The sequence below is a fragment of the Homo sapiens genome, chromosome 20 (assembly GCF_000001405.40).
Source record: "Homo sapiens chromosome 20, GRCh38.p14 Primary Assembly".
Taxonomy (NCBI): domain Eukaryota; kingdom Metazoa; phylum Chordata; class Mammalia; order Primates; family Hominidae; genus Homo; species Homo sapiens.
Window position 1 is genome coordinate 48,304,028 of NC_000020.11, and position 15,956 is coordinate 48,319,983.

A 15,956-nucleotide genomic window follows, 5' to 3' on the forward strand; every position below is an offset into this window, starting at 1 on the left:
AAGAAAGGAAGAGAAGTATGACATGGATATATTCTATCTCTTGTTTTCTTCTAATGGAAGATAGGAGATTAAAAAGAATAAAAAAGAAGAGAGAAGGAGCATCAATGATGAAGAAAGAAAGAAGTCAAAAGCACTACCCAATTTTAGAGAAAACTCTGTGTACAGAGACACAATTAGGTTGTGTCAGAGAAGCCTAGTTGCCTACTGCTGTGTGGGAGCTCCTAGAAAACAAGCCCTCTCCTGCTTTGGGAATCTCAGTAGATGTGAGGATGTGGGCATTGTGGCCACTTTCCCCCAGTAGGTCTCTGAGTGTAAAACCAATACAACGATATCCCTTCTTTCCTTCTTTATTTGTAACTGAACCCTTATTTTGTATTTCAAGAACCTAAATAACCAGCTAAAAACATTTCCAAGGCTCTCTTTTATCCTGGAGTGGTACACAGATCTAACCAATGGTTATTAAACATAAGCTACTAAATAGGACTTCCAAGAAAACTCTTTAAAAGGAGTTGACGAAGTGCTCTTTGTCACTGTCTGTCTTCTGAAACTTGGTCATGTTGACTGGAGCAGTGGCAGCTATATTAAGATCATGAGGATGGAGCTCACAATAAAGATAGGGGAGTAAAAAGCCAGAAGAGACTGCCTCTAGACTTGTTTAATGTGAGAAAAAAATAAACCTCCAAGGTTTTTTTAGGGGGGAGGGAGAAGGGAAGGGTCTCTGTAATTTTTAGCCAAAGCAAGCCTCAGAAACCTTGACCCTTATTTTAAACTACACATAACATACCACCTCCTGATGTGGCAGTGTGCCAATTTCTTCTTTCTAGGTGGGTTCTTTTTTGAACTGAGATGACAGATATTTCTGCGACTTTTCCATTTGCATGGAAAATGTCAAATTATAATGTATCATTTTCATTTCACCATACTAACAAATACTCCCTTGAAGTCAATAACTAGAGAGCTCATCCCAGAAGTAATTTCCTGTTCATCAAATTTTTGAATATATATAATTTTTATTTGCTACTCCTGCTGGGAAACCTGTTGGCATCTATGCTAAGCCCTGAAGATTTTATTGCTATTTTTCTAAAATTGATACAAGTCAGCCCTCAGATAACCTTTGCACGTATGTGTCAAGAGGCATCACAGAATCATGAAATCAAGAGTTGGAAGGAACGTGAAGAATCATTAGAGTTGAGATTTGCTTACGCAGTAGGGTGAAAATTTATAGACGTTGTTAGGTGTCAAGACACATCAGAGTCTTGTTCACTCCTAGAAAAAACTGCTCCTCCACCCAAATCTTTCTGATCTAAGCAGATCAGAACGTTCCATTCTTCCCAATTATTCAGTTTGGGTCAGCCATGGGTCTCACTGAAGGTGATCCAATCAGAATCAATCCCAGATCTTTTGTGGGAGCCAGCCCCTTTCCCCTTTGAGGCTCTCAGTGGATTCGAGGACATGGACACTGGAGCCACTTTAATCTGATAGGTCTTTGAGAGTGACAGCCAGTCGGGTGCAGTGGCTCACGCCTGTAATCCCAGCACTCTGAGAGGCCAAGGTGGGTGGATCACAAGGTCAGGAGATTGAGACCATCCTGGCTAACAGGGAGAATCCCCGTCTCTACTAAAAAAATACAAAAAAATTAGCCAGGTGTGGTGGCAGGCGCCTGTCGTCCCAGCTACTCGGGAGGTTGAGGCAGGAGAATGGCGTGAACCCGGGAGGTGGAGCTTGCAGTGAGCCGAGATTGCGCCACTGCACTCCAGCCTGGGCGACAGAGCGAGACTCCTTCTCAAAAAAAAAAAAAAGAGTGATAGCCATACCAAGATGTCCCAGTGACCTCACGTGAGCACTGAATCTATCTGGACTTGATGTCTGACTGCAATAACCATACAACTTACTGTCCAACCCAAGGCACTTGTCAAAGTGAGTTGGAGTGCTATTAATAATTATTACAGTTATTAGTTAACAAGCATAAATCAGAATTGCTGTAGGCAAATTCTTGAGACAAGAAATCTCATGAGACAAAAAATCTCCGTCTTGATAAAGCCATTCAGATTCTTGGAGTACATTTCATCTCCTTACATTAGCTAGAGAGCAGTTCTGTGACTTATTGATAAGGCGACAAAATAATTTGTTATTCAAACAGGGTCACTTTGGAGAGTGAAAGAGACTGCTATTAAGTAAAGAAGCAAACAGGCACACACTGGGACTCCCCTATTCAGAAAAGGGCTCATCCTACACATTGAGTGACTGCCAGGTAGAAAGCACTGCTCTTATCAAGAAGTGAGCAATGAACATTGTGGGGTGGGGATAGGATGGGATGATGTCTTGTCTTTTGCATCTTGATTTACAAAAGCACAAGGACTCCCTGGTTCTGTCCTCTACTGATTCCTGATACATTTGTGTTCCTACCACTATTCTTGCTTACAAAATAGGGCCTGTTTATAAACCATTGCTTAAGTTTTTGCCAGGTAATACATTCAGATGGCTTAACAATCAAAGTAATAGAAGAGGATTCATTTAATGGGCTCACTCCCACTCTGAGCACTCCACTCCCTCGCAGGTAACCACTTTAATAGTTTCTAATGTGTCCTTCATTGCTTTTTCATGCAAATATAAGCAATATAAACACATAGAACCTTACATTTCTCCTTTCGTACATGAAAGCAATATCCTATGAATACTGCCATGCCCCTTGCTTTTTCTCATATGCTAGATCTTGCATATATTCAAGAATAACTACCCCATGGGCCAGGCATGGTGGCTTACACCTAGAATCCCACTGCTCTACAGGCTGAAGGCAGGAGGATTGTTTGAGCCCAGAAGTTTGAGGCTGCAATGGGCTATGACCATGCCACTTTGCCCCAGTCTGAGAGACAGAGCAAGTCTCTGTCTCTAAAAAATAATAGTGATAATAATAATGGATCTCATTTCTATTTTATCCATTTCAGTATATAGACATTCAATAGTTTTTACTAGATTGCCTTTGTTTTTGTTTTTAACTAGTGTCCTACAGAGGAATGCTGAATTGTTTTCTCTCTTTGGTTCTCACCAACAATGTTGTGATACACACCCTTGATCATAAGTATTTGTAGACAAATGCCTGCAGCATAAATTCCTGGGAGTGGGATTGCTGGCTCAAACACTAAATGCACTTGTCATTTTTAAAGATTTCTCCAAAATGACCTCCACAGAACCAGTGCTGCATCACCCCCCACCAGCAGTGTTAGAGAATGTCTGCTTCTCCACAGCCTTATTGACTAGGGTATCATCACACTTTGGAAATTTTGCTGATAAGGTAAGCAAGAAAAGGTTTATCAGTCTAATTTGTTACAATCAAAACCATCTATGTTAAAAAGACGCCCAGGAATCTATAAAGCAAGTAGCCCCACCTGACATCACTGATCACGCTTGCGGAGCAGAAGAGAATGGTGCCGACTCCGCCTGGGCTCCGCCCCGCCCCGCCCAGCTACCTAAGGCAGCGGGAACAAAATGTTCAACATTTGACCTAGTCCTCTGCCAGGACTGCCTCCTGGAGCGGGAGGGGGGACCCCAATTCATGTTTTTATTTGTTTTATCAACTGTTGTGTGGAAGGTTTTTGGGGTTTTTTTGAGACAGGGTCTTGCTCTGTCACCCAGACTGGAGTGCAGTGGTGTGATCTCGGCTTACTGCAGCCTCCACCTCCCAGGCTCAAGTGATCCTCCCACCTCAGCCTCCCTAGTAGCTGGGACTACAGGCGTGTGCCACCATGCCAAGCTAAGTTTTGTATTTTTTTTTTTTTTTTGTAGAGACAGAGTTTCATCATGTCTCGAACTCCTGAGCTCACGCGATCTGCCCACCTCGGCCTCCCAAAGTTCTGGGATTACAGGCTTGAACCACCATGCCCAGCTGTTTTTTTTTTTTTTTTTTTTTTTTGAGACAGCCTCGCTCTGTCACCCAGGCTGGAGTACAGTGGCAAAATCTCGGCTCACTGCAACCTCCGCCTCCTGGGTTTAAGCAACTATCCTGCCTCAGCCTCCCAAGTAGCTTGGATTATAGGTGCGTGCCACCACACCAGGCTAATTTTTTGTGTTTTAGTAAAGACAGGGTTTCACCATGTTGGCCAGGCTGGTCTTGAACTTCTGACCTCAGGTGATCCACCTGCCTCAGCCTCCCAAAGTGCTGGGATTACAGGCGTGAGCCACTGCGCCCAGCCTGTGGAGTTTGTTTTTTGTTCTTTTTTTTTAACATTACAGAACACTGTGCCAATGACCTGCCCCCATCAAATGGTCACACATGCTGTTGCCAGCACGGCAATGCTGGCATCTCTTTTTAAACTCGCCACATGAGGAAAAGTGGAGATATAATTTCTCTTGGCTTCCTGAGTGGTACAAGCATGTGTCAAGTTACCAGGGAGATTTGATGAAGTGTAATATACCTGGCCATCTGACAGTTAGTGGCCTTGTTTCCTTTCCCTGCGATAATATTGGATTTCATACTGAGAGCATCAACAAGAGAAAGGCTCATACCTAACAGCTAATATCTGCAGAACATGTGTTTCTGCTCAATTTCTGCACCTTTATGGCTCCATCTGACACTGCAATTCTTTCTGCTGCAAAACAGCCTGATTCGAATCATCTGTCTTACATCTAATTCAAGTTGAAGTCTATTAGGCAAACCAATTCCTGGCCTATTTGTGTCCCTTCTCACAAATTATTCTAGCTGATTCTCTGGCACTAGTTTTGTTTTTGTTTTGTTTTTTGTTTTTTTTTTTTTTCCAGGAACCAATAGCTGAAAAACTTCTGATGATGTTAAAGGAGATCTCATATTCTTTTTCATGTTGTTTTAAATGACAGATGACAATTTGGCATCCTCACAGGACAACGTGTCCATCTGACATAAATAATGTGCTCTGATTTTTTTTTAAAGAAACACAAAGCAGGAGAAGATGTCCACCTTTACATTTTCCAGCACAAAACCAATTCTTTGGAAACCTGTATGTTTCTTGATCATCTCTTGCCAGGTTCTGACAGCTCAGTATTCAAGTTGCTCACGGCAACAGCCTTGACACCATGCTGAGACACGTGTTGTCTTGTTCTTCACACATACCATGCCCAATACACATGACAAAGACTGTTGGCTCGACCTTAAAAATCTCCCCAGCTTCCCCTAGTTCTCCCAGCCCACTGCTACCACTGTGGTCCCAGCCGCTGGGGAGACTCTGTCCTCACTGGCTCCTGGGTCGGCATTTACCCTCACCATGGCCCCTTGCCCCCTGCCCTAATAAAATGGTCAGAGTGGTCCTTTTAACCACAAGTCTGATCATGTCATTCCTCTGCTCCTGCCTCACACAGATAAAACCCAGATCCTCAGAGCGGCCCATGAGGCTTTGTCAGGGGTCTGGCCTCCTTGCCTCTCTGGCTTCTCTGTCCACGAATCTCCCCCCACTCTGCTGTGGCCACACTGGTCCCTCGCTTCTGTTTGAACATGCTCCTGCCTCAGGGCCTTTGCACTTGCTGTTCTCTCTGCCTTTCTCTCAGATATTAGCCAGTCTCCCCCTCTCAGGGCATTCAGGTTTCTGCTCCATGCCAGTGTCCTCAGGGAACCTCCCTTGCACCCCGACCCCTCTTCCTGGCTTCACTTTCTCTCTCAGCATCAGCCTCCTCCTGGTACACACGAGATACATTTTGTCTTTATTGATTGTCCTCGACCACAGCATGAGCTCCTTAGCATCAGCACCTTGGTTTTGGATCCCCTGCTTTAGACTTTGAGCTGAGAACAGTGCCTGGCACATTACAGACACAGTAACCTCTTGAATGAATGAATGAATCAATGAGGGGTCAGCTGGGAAACCAAGCAAAACAGAGCATTCCTTGGAGTCCCAAACACCAAGGGAAATATGGCACATGAACCTCAGGATGTCCAAAAAGCCAAAACCAGAGTTACATGAAACTATACATTTTTTTTTAATTTTAGCACCTCCCAATCTTTGTTCTTTCTGAAGAAACCAATTCAGGCCCAGAGTTTCTGCCTTGGTGTGTGTATTTTTAATCAGCCTTTCTTTGCCTGCTCAGCAGCTACTGGGGCTCCTGGGTCCACTGGATGGATGCCCCATCTGGTCATGGAGCCATTTTCCCTTTGGAGAAAATGAGGCTGACATGAGCACTTGCTGCCTTTGTCAGTCAGGACCAAGATACACAGCACCAAACGTCAGCCAAAGATGAGACTCCTGCAACAAGGGGCTACTCAGTTGAAACATTTTGTATAATTGGAAGATGAGGTTAACGGCGATAGGGAAAATTCAGGTGGACCTACAAGGGTTTATGAAGCAGATGCTGAAAAATAAACAGATCAGGGGGTGTCCAACCGGCCCCGCCTGACTCTGCTATTTCTTGGCGAGGGATGGCGCGACAGCCAAGATGTGTGTTTGCTTAAAATCAAGGGCTGTGGAATTGGGTCAGGGACTTCAGTTGAAATCCAGCTGCCCGTTCTCCAGCTGTGCGACCTTGACAAGGCCCGCCCCTGACCTTTCCCCAGTCTGTAAAGTGGAACAACATTCATAAGAAGCGTGACTGCCTTAGGGGCTGCTGGCGGGTCCAGAATCCACAGGAGACCAGACAACTTGGGGGTTTCTGGGCCACACACACACAGGGCACTTTCTCCCGCAGGGCTCTGCTGGCTGGATACTCACTTGCTCCAGGGAAGCCACTCGTCCACCCCATGGGGTGGGTACTGCCGCTCTCCTACTTTCCGGAGGAGGGAACCAGGCATGCAGAGGGAGCCTCTTGCCCATGGCACACAGCAAAAGCCCCAGCGTCCTGAGCTCAGGGGCCGGCCCTGTCCCACTGACAGGTTTGATTCTATGAAAGGATCATTTTCCCTCCTGCTGTTGGCTTGTGTGATCATTGGTCACTGGTATCTGGGCCATTCCTTGAGCCCTAAATCTGAAGAATGCAAAAGTTTGATGCCCAGGCAGCTTAGGGGTGCCATGAAGACCTTGTTTCCCCTGACAGCCCCCAACCCCAGACCCAGCGCATGGTGAACTGCCCTCTAAGGACCCAGTGCCAGCCAAACCAAAGGCACCGTGGCTGATGGAGGCCACACAAGGGGTCATTGGTCCAGCCTGAGGCAGGTGACAATGTCACATGATGCAAAAATCACGGGATAGTGGAAAAGGGAATAGGGATTCACCACAGGTCATGATGAAATGGGAAAGGTTCCCTTGTCCCCCTCACAGGGCGTGGAATGGAGGACTGCGGCTCGCTTCTTCAGTGCCCTGCTGCTCAAACCTCTCTAAGGGAGCATATAGATGGGCAGGTTGTGGGGCTCGGCTCCGACCCACGATATGTCTAGAGTTGAACGTTTACAGCTCCTGAAGTGCCAGTTGGCGTGTAGCTAGAAGGCTGTCTTAGTTTGCCGTCTATAGGTGGCTTGAGTTAACCAGCACAATTACCTCTTTTACTTTGTCACAAGGACAGAGGGTTTTCTTGTATCCCAGGTTCTTGCCTTGGTGTACCTGAAGAATCGGATCACACATAGGCTTGGAGAATGAGTATCAAGTTTTATTGAGTGGAAGTCGCTCTCAGCCGATGGGGAGGCCAGAAGGGAGATGATCTTCCCCTGGAGTTGGGCCGCTCAGGGGCCCTGGCTCTCCTCTCTCCTCCAACTGCCCAGCCAAACTCTGCCTCACCCCACTGGTTGATGGCTTGCCAGCCTGGGTGCCTGTTGGTGTGCTTTTCTGCTGGTGTGCTCCTCTCGATGCCCTCTCAACGACCAGCCGTTTGTGCTTTCTTCCACTGATGTACTACTCCTCAGATGTCTGGCCGCCTGTGTGTCTGCCCACTAGGGTCTCGGGTTTTTAAAGGCCCCGGAAGGGGGTGTGGCAGGTCAGGGTGGTCTTGGGAAATGCAACATTTGGGCAGGAAATGCCTTTCCTCACCTAGGTCCGTGGGGGTGGAGCCCTAGCCAGGTACCACGCCCTCCTATACCCAGCACTTCCTTCCCCACTTCCATATTATTTAAAGGGACCATGCACTTCCCTTCCCAGCACGCCTGTATCAATGTCAGCTTCCCCTCCTTCCACTTCCCAGAATCCAAATATGTAGGAGAAAGAAGTGGGGCCAGTTTCCAAAGTATTTAATTAAAGGGCCAGTGGAAGAAGTAAGACTACAATTATACAATTATTGTGGTTGTTTCTCTTTAAGTCCCTGAATTTCTACAATGTTTTTCCAGCTAGGCTTAAAGAAAAACTCCTTGGGCTTAATAGAAAGAGTTGCATTCCATCAGCATCTCTAGGTCAGCATGTTTCCTACTCTTCTGAGACTGTTAGGATCATTTTCAATCTGTCTGAAATCAAATTAAAACAAGTCAAAACTGTGCCGTGGACTCTGCTCTGAGTACAGTCCTCAGTTACTTGCATTCATTTGTCCAGGAGCACCTACCCTATTGCTTGTGGGCCCCTTTGAGTTTGGAGAGCAAGTTCAGGTACCACTGTTTTAGGAAGCTTTTTCTAATGGAGGTTGTGGGCTCCAATGTCCTTGGCACAGAACAGTTGCCAGACAGGGAGAGGTGGGGGGTAGAAGGGACAGGGGGCTGGGGCTGCACACAAGCCCCCTCTGCAGTGACAGCTGTCCAGTCCTAATGACCATCTCCCAGTCCTGGGCCTGACCCCCTCCCCAAGAGTCACCTGTGTCAATAACAGTGTATCAGCTTCTGGAAGTGATTCCAAAGTACTACAGTTATGACTTTCCATAGAAACTAGACCATATTGGCCAGGCGCAGTGGCTAATGCCTGTAATCCCAGCACTTTGGGAGGCCAAGGTGGGCAGATCATGAGGTCATGAGATCAAGACCATCCTGGCCAACATGGTGAAACCCTGTCTCTACTAAAAATACAAAAATTAGCTGGGTGTGGTGGCATATGCCTGTTGTCCCAGCTATGGGAGGCTGAGGCAGGAGAATAACTTGAACCTGGGAGGCGGAGGTTGCAGTGAGCTGAGATTGCGCCACTGTACTCCAGCCTGGCGACAGAGACAAAAAGAACCCCAAACAAACAACAAAAAAGAAACAGCAAAAAACAACAACAACAAAAAATTAGGCCATATTTTGGTGCACACATGTTTCTATAAACAGCTTCTCACATCACATAGGGTCTAGCATCTTGCTTTTCCCCCCTGAACCATATGCACTAGAGACCTGTCCACCTTGCTGCATACAGATACCTCTTCCCTTATACTGCTGTGTTTGTATGTGTTAATGTCTAGGGGTGAAACTCCCAGTTCATATCCCCTTTCCCCTAAGGATGGACACTTAGGCTGTAAGTGGTCATGAGTATGTTTGTGAACTAGTTCTAGTTCTCTAGAACTAGATGGTGCAACTGTCTTTCTCTGCCCTGCACTGAAGATAGTCATGGTCATGGGACTTACACTGACCAATGGAATGGGAGCACAAGTCCCATGTGTCACTTCTGGGTAGAAGCTTAAGAGACCCTCCCTGATTTGTCAGAGGCCCTCTGTCCTGCCTGGGCTGTCATAGGAGCGTGAAGAAGGAGCTGTCCTCCACTAGATCCCTGAGTGGAGATGACGTAGAGCAGAGGCCCAGCCTCCCTGAGACACACAAGCAGCATGAGCAAAAAACAACTTTAGCTGTTCAGGCTCCTGGGATTTCGGTGTTGTTTGTTATCGCAGCAGCATCTCATCTACCCCAGTGGATGCAAATTCTTCCTCTGTTTCTCCAACACAAACAACGCTGCAATGAACAGCCTTCTCAACTTTTCCTTGACCTGTGTGAGTGTTGCTTCAAGTTAGATTTTTAAACAAAAAAGTGTATCGTACAAAACTGTATTTTCTTCTCAAAGAGTAAAAATAAGCTTTCTGCTAAATGAAATTTCATTGGAAACTTTGAAAATGCCTGAACTTAAATATTTAATCCATCACTACCCATTTAATATGAAGCTCCAGGTAATTGGCATCCATTCTCCACATCTGGCTTTTTGTTGAATTAGGCACAGTTGTAATTTGTGGTTAGCCCAGGGATGGTGAAATTTTGAGTCTCTTGGCTGGAAAGGACTCACAGAGAACCTCTTGCTGAGAAGAGACAAATTCAGCATCCTTTCCCCAGTCCCCTCCCCTGTGTTTATTTGTCCTGACCATAAATGTGCACCCTCTGCTGTGTGTAGATCTGCAGCTGCAGGAAATGGCAGACAATCACCTTGCAGGGTTTTTTCCTGGTCTCAGAACCCCAATGTCATTTTGCATTTTGCTCCCCTGTATTTAGCCCAGGAAGGGGGTTAGGGAAAGTCACAAACTGCCCATGCAGTGAAGTCTTCAACCTTGCCAACCTTTGCTCAGGCCTGTCTGCACATTCCCTGCATTTATGGTTAAAACCCCTTTCCTTTTCCCCATTATAATTTCTCCCTAGGACCCTAAGATGGAACAGGCCTGTGGACTAGGCAGGATTCTTCACAGCTGGTTTGATTGCTCAAGGCTGAGCCGGTCTCTGTTTGGCTGCAAAGATTAACTGAGCTCCATCAGCAGATCAATTAATCACTAACAAATTCAGGCTGATGAGTTTTTCATTCCCTTTCAGGCCACAGGACATGTTATAGACAGACTGCCAAGTCATTTTAAACCTGTGAACATTCAAATTGCTTCAGAGCTGAGCCTATTCTAGAACGTAGCAATTTTGAGCCTTTGTGCAGCTCTGATTCTTCATAAGCCGATAATGGGTATGTGGGGAGCATAAAGCGAGATTGGATGGCTTCCATTTAGGATGGCAGAAATGGAAATCTGAACAGAAGTAGAGGAATCATCATTAACCTTCACAATGGCGTCCACACCTCTAGAGGTGGGAAGCAAGAACGTTTAAGCAACTGTGCTGTTTACTGGGCACTCAACTTGGCCAGTAAGACACTGGTCAGGCCAGGGATATCTGGGTTCCACTAAAATAAAGATCGTTTCCAAATGGGTGATGACTGGCATGGCTAGGGGGTGGGGAGGCATGGGCAGTCCAGAGAAGAAGGAAAATAGTTCATTTACAAGTCCCTTTTTGGGAGGGATGAGAGAATGATGAAAGCTAAGGTTTGTCTAGCATTGGCCAGAAATTAACTCCCAGAAATTGACATGATCAGCAATAATGATTATTCCATGTGAACATGGCTTCTTTGGTGTAAATTTCCTAATTTGAGTTTCTGGCATCCATTTTCCCATCTTGCGGTAACCAGACCCTAGTAACTAAGCAGTCACTCTCCCATTGCCCATCACTGGGTTCAGGAGGAGCTCCATGTTTGGATCTAAGGGTGGAGCATGTGACCAGGTCTGGCCAATCAGCTGGTAAATCCCCGTGACCAGGAAGTGGTTCAGGATGAGCACGTGACATGAGTTAATCCAAGCAGAATGAGCCTTGGTTCTAGAGCAGGAGTGACCAGGAGAGATGCTCCCTGGGACAGGCGGTGTTAGATGTCCACCCAACAGCTCCCCACCCCTTAGTTCCCCAGTCCACAGGCTGAGAGTGCCCGTTCCTTGCTTTCCCATCCTCCTTTGCAGAGAGGGCAGAGTCACATGACCCAGTCCAGCCAGTGGAATCTGAGAGAGCATCTGGTGGGGTGTGGGGTGTGGGGTGGGGAGGTGGAGGGTTCTGGGGGGGATTTGCCCCATCTGGTAAAAGAGATGTTCTTGACAAGAGGCTTCCCTTTCTACCTGTATTGGATGCTGTTGGGTGAATGCCACAAGCTTAGAGCTAGGGCAGCCATTTTTTCATAAGAAAGAAAAAGTACATATATACTCAGAGTGCTTACATTTGGAGTTACTGAATCACTCTCAGAGCTAACTATACTTTCAGGCTCCTTGTGTAAAAAGAAAAAAGAAACTTCATAAGTAAGCTACTTTTAGACAAGATTCTGTTACTTATATTGATGTGTAAACAGAGCTACTGGGAGCCGTGTTGCTATCCTATTGAGCCCTGGAATGATGCTATCATAAAGAAGAGCAGGACTGAAACTGTCTTGGTGGCTTTCTTTGAGCCCCTAGATCCACCTGTACCTGGAACCTTACCTCTGAGTTGTTCCATTACATGAGCCAATGCATTTTCTTTTTGCTAATTCGATGGTGGGGGGTTATGTACCTTTTTTTTTTTTTTTTTTTTTTAAGACGGAGTCTCACTCTGTCACGCAGGCTAGAGTGCAGTGGCATGATCTTGGCTCACTGCAACCTCTGCCTCCTAGGTTCAAGCGATTCTCCTGTCTCAGCCTCCCGAGTAGCTGGGATTACAGGTGTGCACCACCATGCCCGGCTAATTTTTGTATTTTTAGTAGAGACGGGGTTTCCCCATGTTGGCCAGGCTGGTCTCGATCTCCTGACCTCAGGTGATTTGCCCACTTTGGCCTCCCAAAGTGTATGTGCTTTTTATAATTAAAAACATCAAAACTTATAACTTCGGCATAACAAAGGATGGCATAAACGAAGACAAGGAAGAGCTTTCCGGCTCATACATTACAAAGGATTAATTTAATATGCTGTAAAGCAACAAGAAAAATACAGATAATTTGACAGAAAAATGGATAAAGGATATGAATGGATTGTTTACAGAAGTGAAATGCAAATAACCAATAAACACAACAAAGATGAGAATTTGACCTTTAATTAAACAAATGAAAATGACTATTAAATTCACCTATCAGATTGGCAAGACAAACCCTTCAAGGCTGTGGGTAAACAGATACTCCTATTGTTCTAACTAAATAGGTACGGGCAGCTTGGCAGGTAACTTGTCAATAGCTATCAAATTAAAATAAGAATGCTCAGACCTTTTGTGTAAATCAGGTTCCATGCAGGAAAATGGGAACCACTCCAATCTGAAAAACAGAGAGCAAGAGTCAGTTCCACAGGTGATGGAAAGGCTAGGGGCCAAATGGCAGAAACTGAGTCAAGACAGAGAAGAAGGAAGCCTCTAGCAGCTCTAGGCATAATGAGAAAATGAAGAAGTGTAACTCCTGGCACCCACATCTGGGGTGACCCAGGAGAAGACAGAGAAGCACACAGGGGCTCTTCAGAAGCTGAAGCCACGGAGGAAGCATGGTTACTGTTTGAGGCAAAGTAAGAGAAGAGAAAAGAAGTGTTCAGATCTTCACTTCCAGAAAGAGAGTGGATACATTTTTCCTCCTCTTCTTGCTAAGTACAGCTAAAACCCCTGCAAGTATGTATAAAACAAACCTAAGCCTCTGAACAGTGGAGAGAAGAAGGCAGACCAGCAGGGCCCTCGGGATAGGAGAAATGACAGGACAGTGAGTTCCTGGGGTTTTCTTTTGCCTTCTTTATTGTGGACTGGGTGCTGGAGAAGCTGACAACCTGGAAATGCCAACAAGCACAGACAAAAGGGAAATATCAGGAAGAGCCTGTCTTCTCTACCTGAAGGGCAAGAAATAGGGCAGCCTAGCAAGACACAAAACTTTTGGACAACCACCCCATGCCGGACAAACGACATGGAAAAACCTCAGCCCACCCTCATCCATGCCAGTGAAGAGCAAGTGAGGAACCTGAACTTCCACCTCCACCTAGCTGTAGCAAGGCACCCAAACCCCGACTGGGGTGGTGTTGGAGAAGGCTGGGCAGGAGCCTAGACTTCCACTCTCACCTGATGTAAGGAGCCTCCCACCCACATGGTGCCCAGTGGAGGCTGGTGAGGAGCCCTAATGAGATATCATTGCACCTCCAAACCAGGGTGCTCAGAGACTCGTTGGGACACTGAGTCCTCACCCCCACCCAGCAGTAATGCGATGTGCCTCCCACCCCAGGGTATAAGTGGAGGCCAAGTGGGGAACTGGGGCTCCACCCAACCTGGCAATAACGAGGCGCTGTTGCTGAACCCCCACCCCCAGTGTGGTATGAAAGGACGTCTGCTAACACCTGGAGATTTGGGTAAGATCTCGAGTCTCCTAGCATGCTGCCCAACATGGCAAGGAGTCCATCAAAAATCACTCCTACCAAGAACCAGTAGCAGCTTAAGTTAATGGGAAAAGACAAGCAACAGATGCCAACATCAAGATAACACAGATGTCGGAATGATTTCATAGTTATTTTAGAATGGTCATTGTAAAAATACTTTCATGTGCTGAAAATGAGTCAAAATATAGAAAGTTTTAGCGAAGAAAAGAAAAGTTTCAGTAAGGAAATAGAAAATATAACAAAGAACCAAGTGGAAATTTTAGAACTGAGAACACACAATAACCAATTTTTTAAAAAAATACTAAATACCTGGGCTCAATAGAAGAATGGAAAAGATGGAGGGAAGCTTCTGCGAGCTGGAAAATCGACCAGTAGAAATGAGTTATCCTGAACAACAGAGAGAAAATAGAAAAAGGATTGAACAAACAGCGCTCTAAGCCTCCGCAGGAAAACTGCAGACCCCGGCCCCCGTCATCCCCAATGATTTCTGCTCTCCAGAAAGCACCACTTTTTATCTCTTCTAGCTGTTTATCATTCTCTTTCTTTCTTTCTTTCTTTTCTTTGCTTTTCTTTTCTTTTCTTTCAGATGGAGTCTTGCTCTGTCTCCAGGCTGGAGTACAGTGGCACGATCTCGGCTCACAGCAACCTCTGTCTCCCAGGTTCAAGTGATTCTCCTGCCTCAGCCTCCCAAGTAGCTGGGATTACAGGTGCCTGCCACCACACCCAGCTAATTTTTGTATTTTTAGTAGAGAGGGGGTTTCACCATGTTGGCCAGGATGGTCTCGATCTCCCGACCTCGTGATCTGCCCGCCTCAGCCTCCAAAAGTGCTGGGATTACAGGCATGAGCCACAGAGCCCGGCCCTATGTCTATATTTCTAAGTAATATGTTTCTGTTGCTACCAGTTTTTTTCTGTAAACATTATCTATCGCCTATCTGCTATGATCAATGAATATTTGCTTCATAGAGGTGCTCCTCTACCCATTCTCCCTGGCCCATCAACTGGTAGAGTTACCGAGACTTCATGCAGTGTCCACACTAATGTAATGGAGTAAAAAGTCTTCATAGTTGACTCGTGTGGTGTAGACTTTAATTGCCTTGTTTCTATAGCATTTTTGCTTTCCCTAGATATAAACGATCTACTTCCACTTCTTTAGTTTTCTCCATAGCTGTCACTAATTCATCCTTAAATTCTTAGCTCTGTCTATAACCCATGTCTCAATGTGATCACACCCTCAGGTTAGGGGGATGGTTTTGTGTTTCACTGGCAACACTCCTCGGAGTAACGGCTGCTCTTTGGATCTGCTTCAGAACAGTGATCTAGACATTTCCGTGGTGCTTCAGATCCATCCTGGGGACCCTTTCCTACATCCTGTGTCTGGGATCCCACAGCATCTCCATTCTAGATCTGTCTCTCCTTTGGGTGGAACACATCTTCCTCTCACAGCTCTGAGAAAGGGCCCAAGAAGCTGGTTCTCCATGACCCTGCAGGTCTGCAATGTCCTTATTCTGTCCTTGCCCTTGATCTAGTGCTCCCCATTCCACATGGGAAGTAAATTTCCCAAGAAGTTTGTAGGCACTGCTCCATTCTTGCTTCCAGAGTTGCGTTCTCGGTCTTAGTCCTTAATATGAGATCAGCTCCATCACTCTGGAGGCTTTGAGGGTTTTCTCTTCTTCTTGGGTTTTTATGAATGCATGATGGTGTCGCCAGTGCTGGGTCTTTTAAAATTAATTATTATGGTACCATGAGGGCCCAGAAAGTACGTCTATCTGTTAATTGTGTCATTATAAATTAATTGTAAGATTACAAAAATGGCAAAGGGGAAAATCACACATAGCCCACTTTTTTTTGTTTTTTGGCAAAATTAAGCAAAATTAGCATGGCCAGATTCACCTACACCAATGCCATCCTGGACTGGATCTTGGACCTTGGACCACCATGCTGGGTGCTCCCTCAATGCTCCTCCAAACCCATCAGACTCCGGAGTAACTCAGACCCCTGGGCATGTCACCTGGGCAGCCCGAGGCAGAGCACAGCTGCGC